A 14,833-nucleotide genomic window follows, 5' to 3' on the forward strand; every position below is an offset into this window, starting at 1 on the left:
TAAAATAACCTAGTCATAGTCAAGAGGACAGCTAGTGTTAAACTCCTTTATATATATTTGAGAAAGGATTTATATATTCATAATAACTTTCTGATCTGGAAAGCCCTAGGTTTGTCAACTATTAATAACTGGGTGAATGCTTCAGGTAGTATTTAAACCAACTGCTATTTCATAGCAGACATTCTCCCATGCAGGAGATGCAGTAAAGTACTGGTAGCAATAGATGCTCCTACCAAGATCTCCCCCTGCAACCGCACAGGAAAGGAGGGAGAAGAAACCACCTTGCTTCTCTCATATTTGACAATCATTCATCGGAATAGAGGTCCCTAATGTCCCACATGTAAGTCTGCTGGTTAAGAAAGTTCTAAGATTGGAACTCCATTCAGATATCAACATTTGTAAGAAAAAAAATTTTAAATATAACTTTGATACAAATTTTACTTTGATTAAGATACCTACAGGAAAGAAACTGTTCATTTTCTCTAACAGGATGGAAAGCAAAAAATATGGGTGGGAGGAGTCTGCACGTTGTTTCACAACTTCTCTCTCCCCAGGGCAAAGCAGAGTATGAGGAAGCCAGCACTAGTCAAGTGACTCTAAGAAGGGCCATTTTCCCTTGTTGTCTTTGAAAATACTTCATTTTCTTAGCATTTCAGGAGATTATAACATCCTGTATTTCAGTTTCTGAGAGCTTTACTGACTGATTTCCCTATTCAAAACAATCCTCATTTCCTACATTTCTGAAGATCTCAAGATCTGGACTACTGTTGAAGAAATTCCCAGTAAGGTGAGTACTGTGGGTATTTTTTATAGAAAAGATCTAGATGCTTCCTTGAAAGCCACAAAATCACAAGGGAAAAATCGATATTGGTTCTTCAGGGCAGTGGGGTGAGGGCAGTAGGGCTGGTATCAACTATATTCAGAAAAGTGAAAACTGCAGTTAATACTTCCAATTCTTTACTTACTTCAAAGATAGTAGATATCCTTTATTCTACAACTGGGGCATGAATGAAGGAATATGCATTTTGACCATTGCAGATTTTAAAACAAATTCTCTGAGTATATATTCTCTGAGGTTAGAAAGCTTGGTGGCCATTGGGGTCTGGGCAAAAGACAAGATAATGATTTCATTCTTTTTTATGGATGCATAGTATTCCACGCTGTATATGCATAACATGGATACGGCTAGAGAACATTACCCTAAGTGAACTAACACAGGAATACCAAATACTGCATGTTCTCACTTATAAGTGGAAGTTAAACATTGAATCCATATGGGCACAAGATGGGAACGGTAGACGCTGGGGACTGCTTGAGAGGAAAGGTGGGAGCAGTATGTGGGTTGGAAGGCTATCTATCTGGTACTATGTCGCTACCTTGGTGATGGGATCACCAGACAACAAGCCTCAGCGACACACAGTTTACTCATTTAACAAGCCTGCACATGTACCCTCTGAACCTAAAATGAAAGTAGAAGATAAAATAAGACAAGATAATGATGTGCACAAAGTATCAGGAAATAATATTAAGTAAAAAACACATCTAGACATACAGCTGTATTTTACGGTATCTCAATTTTACAAAACATGTTCTCACACAAAAACATATGTGAGAACATTTTGTAAATAATATTATTCTACAAGTGCAAACACATAGTAGAAAATGTATCCATTTTGCAAACACAATTATTCAAATAATTCAAATAATTCAAATGTGTCAATATTTTCATAAGTATGTTTAACTTTTACATTAGCATCATTCTATACCAGATGTGAAAGGCAGTTTTTTATTCATTTTAAGATTACTTCCTGCCCTCCTGAAAGTTAATGATGTTTTATTTTTCTAGTGGCAATGTATAGGGGAGAGGCATGGAAGTCAATTTGAAATAGATTTATATTGTCAAAGTTCAGAATTTTTAGAAGACTTTCTGTATAGCCTGGTGCAATATCTCAGTGTACTTGACTAGAATATGAGATTTTAAATGTTGATTTCAGGATTTATATATGTTAGATAAATATTGCTATCAATTATGTTGCTCAAATTTGTAAAAATGTTTTTTTACCTTGTTCATTTAGTATTGGAAGATATAATATAGAACCTCCTATTATAAGACGGTATTTTCTTGTACTCCTCTCAAATTCATATATATAATATATAGATATGCTCACATGCATAGTTGTATAATGTATATTATGTGTGTATGTGATCATGCATACATGTTTCCAAACATAAACATACACATATAAATATATATATTTGTGGCACCGTGTACATATGTGTGTATATGAAGATAAATATATTATATAACATTATATTATCATGAAGGACTATACAATAATGAAAAATAATATACATTTATTATTATTAGATAAATCTATAATTTAAATTATTGTATCTTCCCAGGAATTCAACCTTTTACCATGTGGTATCTGATAATACTCTTTGTCTTAAGATCTTTTAAAAATGATTCTAGCATAGATAAGCTGGCTTTCTTCTAGTTTCTCCTTGCATGATAATTTAAATTTTTTTTCATCTTTCAGTGATCTTTTACTGACAACATACATATAGAAATTTTAAATCAAATTTGATAAAAGTTGTCATTTAACTAGTTAACCTCTTTATGTATAGGCTAATAATTAACATATTTTGGCCTGCTTCTGCTATCTTCACTTCAATTTATAACACTTCTATATTCTCCTACTTGTCTGTTTTTAAAACTTATATTTCCATCTCACCCTTTAAGACAATTACATTAGTAAACTCATATTCTTTTTCTTCCCTCCCTCCACCATGTTGGTATACTTTCTGTTTCTCTTTTCTTTGATCAGGGCTTTCTTTTTAAGTCATAGGCACACATAATCAAGTTCGTTTTTCATTCTTACTTGTCTTTTGGCCTGCAGCTTTTTAAAATTTTTTTTTAATTTTCTATTGAAAAGTACTTCCAAAAATGTTTCTGTGTGCATCTTTGTCTGGAAAAACTACTGAGGCCTTCAGGTTCAGAGAATAGTTTTTGAGGATCTTATGTTTAAATATCACTTTGTTTAGATTGAAATTCTAGTTTTAAAATTATTTTTTCCTTCAAGACAAGATGAGAGCATTTCTTTTGTACCTGGGGGGCTCGGTATGTTTTGAAAATCAGAACTTGGAGGTTTATAAAGATTACTTAATGCACATTTTTCTAGAAACCCCAGTGTTATCAGTGTCATTACTACAAAAGCAAAAGCACTAATATTTCAGCATCAAAACATATGAATATTTGTGTTTAAGTGGAATAAATAAAAATCATACATAGCCTTCTGTAAGCTCACATCTGGTTTCATTTTGCAAATAAATCGTGTTGTCATACTCACAAAACAAATCAAAACTTCCCATTTCTAAACTTTTTGTTTAGCAATTTATATGGGACTTTGGGCCAGCATTATATAAAAATGATTCCATTCTCCTCTTTCAAGTAGATTTGTTGTTGAGAATCAGTTTCAATCTAATTTTTGGATCTTTGCAGGTGATCTAAAGCCTTCATTCTCGGAGGCTTATGGAGTATTTATTTGTTTTTTATGTTCTTCAGTTTCACTATATGTCTTTGTATATATTTTTTCCTTCATTCTATGCTTATCAATCTGAGGACACTCATGTTCTCTCAAGAAGAAAGCAATTAACAGCCCCAGGAATTTAAATATCTAAATTACACAAGAGGTACACAAATACATGTTTTCTATAATTAAAATATTTGTTTTTGTATTTATTTTTATCGAGGTGGAGTTTTGCTCTTGTCACTCAGGCTGGAGTGCAGTGGCATGATATCTGCTCACTGCAGACTGCACCTCCCGGGTTCAAGCAATTCTGTTGCCTCAGCCTCCTGAGTAGCTTGGATTATGGATTACAGGCACCCACCACCATGCCTGGCTAACTTTTGTATTTTTAGTAGAGACGGGGTTTCACCATGTTGGCCAGGCTGGTCTTGAACCCTTGACCTCACATGAACTGCCTCCCTCAGCCTCCCAAAGCGCTATGTTAATTTAAAAAGGAAACAGGAATCCATAGCATGCTTTGAGTGTCATCATGTGCTAAAGTGCACTGGTGCTAAAGAGGTCCAGAGGAGTAACACTCTGTCCATAAGGGCACTCTGAAAATTTCTAGAAGACAAACTCTCAGTTGAGTCTAAAATGTTGTAGGAGAGGCAGTCAGATAGAGGAATGTGGGAATGGCTTTCCAGGCAATGAGAAGAGAATTAGCAAAGTCATGAAGCATGAAAATGTTTTATACTTCTGAAATGTAAGATATAAGGAACACACAAGTGCCAGAGGTTAAAAAAAAAAAAAAAAAGAATGCAGATTATTCAAAGTCTTCTGAAACAATACAAGAAGCAAGGAATGTATTGAAAAGAAAATGGGCAAATATTGAAAGATTTCAGTGGGATAAAAATGTGGTTTATAGAGAGAAATGTGGATCTGTGAAATGAAAATGAATTAGACAAATCAAGCCTAAAAGAAAAATCAAGCAACTATTGAAATATTCCAGCCAATAAATCCTGTGTTCCTGCAATAGAGAAAATGTAGATGTTCAGGAAAGTGATAGTTTTATGGGCACAGAGGACAAATATGGCAGGGTCCAACACCAAGGAAGAGGATACTGATGAGAGCTGACAAGAGAAGAGTTAAGGAGAATAGGGTCGGCGCCCCAGCATGAAACTGTAGTGCTGCGGCAGAAAGTTATTCATATAAGGTGGGAGGCTGCAGCCCATTTACACCTAGGCCACTCCAGTCATAGTGGTGGGTGTGGGAAGATTTAAGAAACAACAGGCAGGTTTTGGGGGATAGGCTCCAGCCCCAGTAAAGGATGGGAAGAGCAACCAAGCACTTTGACACTCCACAGCCCATACTCTAAACACTGAGACAATTGCTTGTTCACAGACCTCCCTCTAACACCTGGACCCAATTCAACTATCCTCATTCAATGGGATGAATTACTTGGACATTCCTAAAGCAAAAGTTCTTCACTCAATTTCTACAGTAACTCATTTGGTCATTAAGTCCTTCTTTATCACACATATTCATGGACAACTCTTTCTTTTATTATTATTATTATTATACTTTAAGTTTTAGGGTACATGTGCATAACGTGCAGGTTTGTTACATATGTATACATGTGCCATGTTGGTGTGCTGCACCCATTAACTCATCATTTAGCATTAGGTATATCACCTAATGCTATCCCTCCCCCCTCCCCCCACCCCACAACAGTCCCCAGTGTGCGATGTTCCCCGTCCTGTGTCCATGTGTTCTCATTGTTCAATTCCCACCTATGAGTAAGAACATGCGGTGTTTGGTTTTTTGTCCTTGCGATAGTTTGCTGAGAATGATGGTTTCCAGCTTCATCATCCTGATACCAAAGCTTGGCAGAGACACAACAAAAAAAAGAGAATTTTAGACCAATATCCTTGATGAACATTGATGCTCAATAGAATACTGGCAAACCAAATCCAGCAACACATCAAAAAGCTTATCCACCATGATCAAGTGGGCTTCATCCCTGGGATGCAAGGCTGGTTCAACATACAAAAATCAATAAACGTAATCCAGCATATAAACAGAACCAAAGACAAAAACCAAATTATTATCTCAATAGATGCAGAAAAGGCCTTTGACAAAATTCAACAACCCTTCATGCTAAAAACTCTCAATAAATTAGGTATTGATGGGACGTATCTCAAAATAATAAGAGCTATCTATGACAAACCCACAGCCAATATCATACTGAATGGAGAAAAACTGGAAGAATTCCCTTTGAAAACTGGCACAATGAACAACTCTTTCTTATGGGCCACTTATTCACATAGGCATACATCTTCTTTTAAATTCTCTGTATACATGTGTAACACTATATACCATTTTTCTCTTGCAGGCTCACTTATATCTTTAGAGATGGCAAATAACTACAAGAAAATTGTTCTACTGAAAGGATTAGAGGTCATCAATGATTATCATTTTAGAATTGTTAAGTCCTTACTGAGTAACGATTTAAAACTTAATCCAAAAATGAAAGAAGAGTATGACAAAATTCAGATTGCTGACTTGATGGAGGAAAAGTTCCCAGGTGATGCCGGTTTGGGCAAACTAATAGAATTCTTCAAAGAAATACCAACACTGGGAGACCTTGCTGAAACTCTTAAAAGAGAAAAGTTAAAAGGTAATTGGGAAGAGGGAACACCCACTCCCTGCAATGATCCCCACCCTTCCCAACCTTGATTAGAACGCCACCTTGGTCGTAGCTGATACATCCTTTTCCCAATTTGTGACTCACTGGCCATGGCAATGTTGGTACTTCAGATGCCAACAAGTTGACAACTTATGGCATTCCATTACTAAAGTGGATTGACGTATATCGGAGTTGAGGTGCAGTAAAAGAACAAAAAGGAGAGGGAGTTGAAGAGAGACTGAGACTTCTAGTACATTCGAAAGATTACATAATGACAAAATAAAATTATAAAAATTGTTGTTTATATCTGAGATATGTACATTTAGTCAATTAATGTGTTCATTCTATTGAGAATATTCAACACACCATCATCCTTTATAATACAAAAGATAACAATACTTAAATGTAAGCATTGCTCCCGGAAGTGTGAAGACCTCCCCTCTTGTCATGTTATTGAGTTAAAATAATTAAAACAAACTCAGCCTGGCGCTGTTGCTCACGTCTGTAATCCCAGCACTTTGGGAGGCTGAGGTGGGTGGATCACGAGGTCAGGAGATCGAGACCATCCTGGCTAACAAGGTGAAACCCGTCTCTACTAAAAAATACAAAAAATTAGCCAGGCGTGGTGGCAGGCACCTGTAGTCCCAGCTACTCGGAGGCTGAGGCAGGAGAATGGCGTGAACCCGAGAGGCGGAGCTGGCAGTGAGCCGAGATCGCGCCACTGCACTCCCGCCTGGGCGACAGAGCGAGACTCCGTCTCAAAAAAAAAAAAAAAGAAAAAAAGTCAAAACTCACCATATCTCACCTCACAAACCTATTTAACATCTCCTTTCACTAGTTTCTGTAATTTAAATAGATTATCTGGAGAATATGACTAAGCAGTCAGCATCATGAGAACCTTACATTTTAAAAGGAAATGATAGAATAGGATTGGGAAAGGGTTTGACTGAGCACATGGAGTTCAGAGGACAGGAAGGATGTTCTCACTGCACAGGGGAGGAGTGATGAAAGCACTGAGGAGTGTGAGTCAGTGTTTGTGCCTTTGTTTCTCCTGCTGGCCTCCTGGAAGCCAGACTAGGCTAATGCAATAGAGATAGACTAAAATACACCTGAACCCTCAAGCAGGAGCTAAGAGCAAATAGTATTGAAACTGCTTCGGGTGTCCCCGATCATCTGCTCTGGGTTTATACATCTTCCTTTTTTCTGCATTAGTTGCAAATAAAATTGAATCCATTCCAGTCAAAGGAATAATCCCATCTAAAAAGACGAAACAGAAAGAAGTGTATCCTGCTACACCTGCATGCACCCCAAGCAACCGTCTCACAGCTAAAGGAGCAGAGGAGACTCTTGGACCTCAGGTAAGCTTCAGGAAGAGGAGCAGGCTTCAAGTCTCACAGTGGAAGCTCTGCTGTGGCTGTTCCACTCAATCTGTCCAGCAGGCAGTTATTTCTTCATATGTTTCCCATCAAGTTTCAGATTTATCAAATTACATAATAATTGATCATCTTTCTGCAAGGCAACAAGTTAAACGCTTTAGTAAACATAATGTAAATATACATAAAATAAATATAATATTTTCATCTCCAATAGAGAAGGATGTTAACTTGAGAGTCAGATAAAAAAACGTTTGCCTATGTTTACAAAAGCCTAGTTTCTTAACTGCAAGTCAGCATATCCCAAAACACAAGTAATTAAGGAATGATGTGTGTTACTTTCTCTGCTCCCTTTTTAAAAATGAAACCATCTATGCCATGTTCTTTCAATTGGCCTGGGGATGTACTTAAGTTTCCAAGAAAAACAATTTATATACAATAAATATATTACCTTGTAATGAAAATGTGCTCTGCTTCATTTGACACTGAAAGTAATTAACAAGAAAAATAAACTACTTGTAGAAAAGAAAAAAACCATCTGAAGAAGAGACTGGAACCAAAAGGAGTAAGATGTCCAAAGAGCAGACTCGGCCTTCCTGCTCTGCAGGAGCCAGCACGTCCACAGCCATGGGCCGTTCCCCACCTCCCCAGACCTCATCATCAGCTCCACCCAACACTTCCTCAACTGAGGTACACTCTTCCTGGTCCCCTTTTGATTCATTTTCTTCAACCCAAAATGTAGGAATCTGATTTCATCTTCTACTGAAAAATGACATCAATCATCAGCCAGTAAATCAAATGTATAGACTGAGAATTCACTGCATTTTAATCTTTTGCTTCCACAGGCATATTTGATGAACTTGACATTATCTCTGACTGCAGGAAGTTTTCTGTCCTGTGCTGTTTGGGGAAGAGACAGAGAACTGCGGAATCTGGAACTTTCAGCAACAGACTCACTGTCTACTGCCCCCATCTATTATACACCCATTCCCTTTGCTCACTAATTTGTTCAAGTTTCTCTGACATACACCATGCTCCTTTTTCCTTTAGGATTTTCACACACCATATTTCTTTCACCTTTAAACTCTTACCTGGCCAACCCTATCCACCCTCTGGATCCCAATATTGAGATCTTATCCTCAGGGAATCCTCACTTAGACCCCTGTAACAGGTTAAATCTTCATGGTGTTCTGTTTCCTAGGAACTTCTTTCTTTTCTACTGTTTATGACAACTGAAGTTAATAAGTGTTTATCTTTCCCACCTACTCAAAGTAGTTCCAAGATTAGGGCTAGTTTGTAATTCTGTGGACCACTGTAAACGAGGGCCTAGTTCAGTGTCTGCCTCATGGGAAGCTTCCAATAAATACCTTTGCTCAACGAAAAAATGAAAACCCAGTGGCTCACGCCTGTAATCCCAGCACTTTGGGAGGCCGAGGCAGGTGGATTGCCTGAGGTCAGGAGTTTGAGACTAGTCTGGCCAACATGGTGAAACACTATCTCTACTAAAAATACAAAAAAATTAGCTGGGTATGGTGGCTTACGCCTATAATCCCAGCTACTCAGGAGGCTGAGGCAGGGGAATTGCTTGAACCAGGGAGGTGGAGGTTGCAGTGAGCTGAGATCGCACCACTGCACTCCAGCCTGGGTGACAGAGCGAGACTCCATCTCAAAATAAAAAAGTAAAAAAAAAAAAAAAAAAGGAAACCATATTCTAAGATATGAACCACTACAGCTAAGCAAATGACAAATAAAGGTCATCTGACTCAGTCAAAGATACCTATTGTGAGGCCAAAAGGTTGTAAAAACAAAGGGAAGTGATGGAATAGGGAAGAGAGCTCAGGAGTTTGGGAAAATGTAGGCAGGCAGAAGACGATACACCAAGACTTACAAATGAAAGAAAGTAAATTACAATTAATAATTGCATGATTCTGATAATCCTTATAATGCTGTACTCATCTCAAATTTGGACAGGTCAGCCTTACTATATGCATGTATCAGCAATAGTCTAAAAACTAATTGAAACTCTAATGAGCTTTATTATTAAAAAAATGTTCTATATTTCTGATACACAATAAAGGGGATCAATTATGAAGGGCAACAAGTGATGAAACCACACCACCAACCTTAATTTGCTCTATTCCCTTTTTTCTTACATTTGATTTTGTATTAATGTAAGACTATTTCAGAAAAAAAGGAATAAATGCAGACAAACCAGATCAAACTTAATTAACTTTACGTGAAATTCCAGCATCCATAACATGCCACATTTCTCTATATACCCTCTCATATTTACTCCTATGTATACACATATTTTTTCTGAAAATATCATCATACAATGTAATGTCCTATTATGTCTCTCTGAGCAGTTATATGATCCCCTTCATGCAGGTCTTGTATTCATGTGGCTCCTTGTGATGTTGCATATCAGTTACTATTAATATTCTCATGGATGGATCTACGGTTACTGATTAACTTGTGTTGGGAAAGGACTTTTCTGTTTTAGGCTGAATGGGTCACATGGATGAAAAGTCAGATCAAATAAAGTCCAGTCACTCACAGATGATCACTGTATATGGTATTCCAGATCAGACCACTCCAGGAGCTGCTGGTTTGTGAATGAAACAAACCTACCTATTCCTCCAGTGCTTTTTCTTGAAATTGAACAACTTTCCCTTCATTAATGTGTTCTGCTGCAAATTAAGGAAACCTGGATGTTATAGAGAAAGGATATTAAAGACAATCCACTCTGATCCTTGCTTTTCTGTCAGCATGCTACCTCCTAGAGCCCTGACATTGAGAAAGACTGCAATGGTGGTAATGACACTCTGTAGAGTGTCTGTAGCCTGAACCTACTGAGATGAGGGCATTCTGAGGGGTTTAGCCCACAGGTGTTCTCACCTGCTTTAACAGCATTTATCTTAGGCAGGAAAAGTATGAGTTGTATGCTAAAAATTGCCCTGTCTACATTGGTAATAACTAAACACTGTTGATGTATGTGGTTTGTGGTGGACACCCTTTACCATTTTCAGCGCTATTCAATTGTATTTTGTCTATTTTTATGCTCTGGCATTTTAAGCTGGTAAGAGTAAAACTACAACTCATTATTTTATCCTAAATTTATTTTAAGTTAATTCATGATGATTGGCTCAGCATCCACTTGTCTTTTGTTGCTATTATATCTTACATTTTAAGGATTATTCTGTTTAAAGAAAGTCTTCTTTTACTATGTGGTCTCCTATATTACTTCCTCTGGCTATGAGACTACTTCAGAATATCCTCTCCTTCCCTGTATCCTGGCCCCAGCTCTACACATCTACAACTTTTGGGGGCCCAATGTTGTGCCTTGAGGTCACTGAAGAGCAATTCTGTATTCCTCACTCAAAAATTTCTTTTTTGTATTCCTTTTGTATCATGCGCAGAGCCTAAAACCATTGGCCAACCGTCACGCAACTGCCAGTAAAAATATTTTCCGAGAAGACCCAATAATCGCGATGGTACTAAATGCAACAAAAGTATTTAAATATGAATCCTCAGAAAATGAGCAAAGAAGAATGTTTCATGCTACAGTGGCTACGCAGACACAGTTCTTTCATGTGAAGGTTTTAAACATCAACTTGAAGAGGAAATTCATTAAAAAGAGAATCATCATTATATCAAATTATTCCAAACGTAATAGTCTCCTAGAGGTGAATGAAGCCTCTTCTGTATCTGAAGCTGGTCCTGACCAAACGTTTGAGGTTCCAAAGGACATCATCAGAAGAGCAAAGAAAATTCCGAAGATCAATATTCTTCACAAACAAACTTCAGGATATATTGTATATGGATTATTTATGCTACATACGGTAAGGCATCAAAGCTATTTTGTGGCATTTTCTACAATAACACTTGAAATTAAAAGCCCTGATGTGCTAAATGGAAGTTTGCATATTACTTAACATTAAAACTCAGGACTCTCTCAAAACTACTGACAAGTAGATAAAGTCTTCTTCGAGGTTAAGACCAGGATTAGGAGAACTATTAATGTTCTCATTCTTTCCAAAATATCACCCTGAAGTTCTTTAGTAAAACATTCACTGAGAAACCTTGAGACTTCATCAGCTGTGACTATCTATTATGAGTCATAACGATCAAAGATAGTGAGGGATCTAGATCCATACAAACATAATACTAAACTTATTTCTTTGATTATAATCTCAATTGTAGCAAAAATCACATTGTTTTCATTTTGAATACAGTATTGTTCTTTGAGGCTTGAGTTCCAGTTTTGACAATCAGGGCAAGAAATGAATTGACTGTTTATACCTGGAAATCAATTGCAGTAAACAGGTAGGACAATGTTCTGACCAAATGAAATGCATTCATCAAAAAGTATTGAAGGGCTGAGAAATATAAATTTGGGTGATACTTGGAGAATCAGGTAATCTGTACTCGTATATTAGATATGTCGCAAAAAAAGAGCAGAAAAAATTTTCTGATATGTTACTGTCAAAATTCACGAAACTAGTTAGCTTGAGACATTCCAACTCAGAAAACCATCTATACCTGGCTATTGAGTCCAGTAATTTCTTAGATGACTGACAGCTCATGATCTGTTATATTTATTTTCTAGAATGACCTCTTATTTTACCAGCATTGCTTTCTGTACACACTCTTAAAGAAATTCTTAGAAATACACATCCAGAACGATGAGTAATAGCCTTGATGAGCAAGAAATTGGAATGTTTGAGCTTAAGGACCTGAGTTCAGGATGGGAGCAGATGTTGAAAGAGATTCAGTAAATGGAGAAAGTCAAAAAAGTAATTAGATAGTTACTAGAAGCTTGTTTTTTATTACAGATTCCTCATAACATAGTGAATGATGAGTTGTGACAGATGCCCATTCTTTTTGCATAGGGGCAGAGGCCAAATAAGCCTACCAAGGACTTCAGTTTCCTTTGTATCAAGGTGCTTTGGGAAGCATAGCAGTCTTGGAGGTGAAAGAAGTTGAAAATGGGAAGATAACTCATTGCTCTAGAACTGTAATAGAAATACTTAGAACATTAAGGACTTAAACAAAAAGGATATTGAGGGAGAGCTCTGTGAGATGGTCTAGACTAAGGCATATGTATTGTATGTCGATACAGTACTAGGAGTTGCTGTCTTGCATCTTGTTTTTAATCTGTCACAAGAGACTTTCCTATATGCACGGTAGTTACTATGTTCTCACAAACATGATATTAATTTTTTGTTGCAGAAAATTGTAAATAGGAAGACGACAATCTATGAAATTCAGGATAAAACAGGAAGTATGGCTGTAGTAGGAAAAGGAGAATGCCACAATATCCCCTGTGAAAAAGGAGATAAGCTTCGACTCTTCTGCTTTCGACTGAGAAAGAGGGAAAATATGTCAAAACTGATGTCAGAAATGCATAGTTTCATCCAGGTGAGAAATAAAGAAACAAATATTAGTTTTCCAAAGATGAAAATCATTTGCTTTAAGTTTTAGGAAGCCATACTTCTGTTGTTTTACACTTAAAATTCTGCAGAGTTCATGAGAAACCAAATAATGCCCTTGCGCTTACATTTAAATAGAGAAAATTATTAAAATATATTAAGAGATGGACAATTATCTTCTTCAAAAAGACATGAAACTTGTGCTAAATATTAAAATATTTGAAGAAACTAGGAGGCCACGGGCCTAATTGCAGTTAGTTATCAAAACCAAGTTCTTTGCAGTAAGATAGGCTTGGTATATATCTTGCTCATTGGTTGCATGATATTGGAGAAATAGCTTACATGTTCCTCACACAATTGGTTTGAAAATTAAATGAGATCATGGATATACATTTTGTAGCCCATTGCCTTCCTTGTACCTTGTGACAAACCAGTATGCACTAGATACTACTGCTCTTAACAAGGTAAAGACAGACATTGGAAAGACTTCAGGCAGAGAAAATGTTGCATACAAACATTAAAAGTGAGAAAAAGCATAGTGAGTTCTGTACAACTTTGGCATATGTGGAAAGGTATGAGAAATTCATGCAAGACAGGTAACAAGCAGCCCTTTTCTCATCTGTCTTATGCCATAAAGACAAAAATGGATTTCATTTTAAAAAATAAGTGAATAAAGATTTTATTTTACTAAGAATGTTAGATCATTTTACATTTTAGCAAAAAAATATATTGGCAGTTGCCTGGAGGAATACATTAGATAGAGGCAATCTTTGAAGGTAATGACATCTATTAGAATTTAATAAAGGATGATATTCTCACATATTTAAAGATGTTTTGCTTTCCCTAATATTAAAAAACATTAAACAAAAAAATGAATACTTTCAGATACAGAAAAATACAAACCAGAGAAGCCATGACTCCAGGAGCATGGCACTACCCCAGGAACAGAGTCAGCATCCAAAACCTTCAGAGGCCAGCACAACCCTACCTGAAAGCCATCTCAAGACTCCTCAGATGCCACCAACAACCCCATCCAGCAGTTCCTTCACCAAGGTACAATATCCTGGGTCCCATGACTCTTATCTCCCAAATATAAATTACAAGGATCATTAGATTGTTGAAAGAGTTTCTCTTCTAATCCCTAACTGTGTACAATCTCTAGATAAAATTAAATCACCCATGTATTTATTGAATGCATACAGTGAGATACTACCACATGATAGTCTTTGCTATCTAAAAGATATTTATTTGTGCAACGATTGCTGACCACAAGAGGGCTAGTATCTTGTCTTGCTCCACCTATGGGAGGGGTAATGGCCAGAGAAGTAGAGATGAAGACAAAGAGTGTGTTATGACCCACATTCCAATTTCTTTCACAACTTTCCCCTTTGCTTATTGGTATTATTTCTGAATTTATTTTCAGCATTCCAAGTTGAAATAAATATTCGAAGTATATATTTGGAAACATGCTATTTCATTGTTGGGAATCTATTTCTCCCATCTCATCACTGGCAAGAATTTCCTTAAATTTCAGACACCAACTTAAGTATTTTCCTCTGGCAAGTCCTCAATGATACAAGATAGCAGAACTGTTGAGTCCTCCTATTGTTTGCTTTTACAGGGCCTCCTGTCAATGAGAGTAAAGTACTAATTTCACAGAAGTGAACAGAGAGGCTTATCATATAAGATGTTTTCCATACTTCCTTGATCTGGGGTTTCCCTTAATAGGGTCAGTGTAGCACATGATATATTTGTAGAAAAGAAAAAAACTACAAGTCCCAGCATAGAACATGTAACGACAATGTTCTGTGTTTGAGCATTTAACTAGGTGTT

At 36.8% G+C, this 14,833-nt stretch overlaps 1 protein-coding gene across 7 annotated transcripts in view, besides 1 other annotated feature; it reads left to right on the forward strand.

The window, feature by feature from the left end:
* PYHIN1 (pyrin and HIN domain family member 1) overlaps nt 563-14,833 on the forward strand; it is a 59,319-nt gene continuing 45,048 nt past the window's right edge. For 4 of the 7 annotated variants that reach the window (XM_011509243.3, NM_152501.5, NM_198929.5 and 1 more), the window contains exons 1-7: nt 563-787; nt 5,902-6,186; nt 7,408-7,553; nt 8,091-8,258; nt 10,988-11,410; nt 12,801-12,989; nt 13,886-14,053. In XM_011509243.3, the coding sequence (XP_011507545.1) occupies nt 5,922-6,186; nt 7,408-7,553; nt 8,091-8,258; nt 10,988-11,410; nt 12,801-12,989; nt 13,886-14,053 (1,359 nt within the window). In that variant the 5' untranslated portion in view covers nt 563-787; nt 5,902-5,921. Of the gene's footprint in view, nt 788-5,901; nt 6,187-7,407; nt 7,554-8,090; nt 8,259-8,413; nt 10,127-10,987; nt 11,411-12,800; nt 12,990-13,885; nt 14,054-14,833 lie in introns of those variants that run through there. The other 3 variants (NM_198928.5, NM_198930.4, NM_001410886.1) reach the window with 2 other exon arrangements.
* Nucleotides 7,308-8,507: an enhancer, noted in NCBI's record as "CDK7 strongly-dependent group 2 enhancer chr1:158908087-158909286 (GRCh37/hg19 assembly coordinates)". NCBI's record gives its function as "activates an origin of replication core promoter dependent on BRD2, BRD4, P300/CBP, MED14 and CDK7 cofactors, with strong dependence on CDK7, by STARR-seq in HCT116 cells {active_cell/tissue: HCT116}" and the evidence as "EXISTENCE:reporter gene assay evidence [ECO:0000049][PMID:35650434]".

This window comes from Homo sapiens, chromosome 1 (genome assembly GCF_000001405.40).
Source record: "Homo sapiens chromosome 1, GRCh38.p14 Primary Assembly".
NCBI classification, from domain to species: domain Eukaryota; kingdom Metazoa; phylum Chordata; class Mammalia; order Primates; family Hominidae; genus Homo; species Homo sapiens.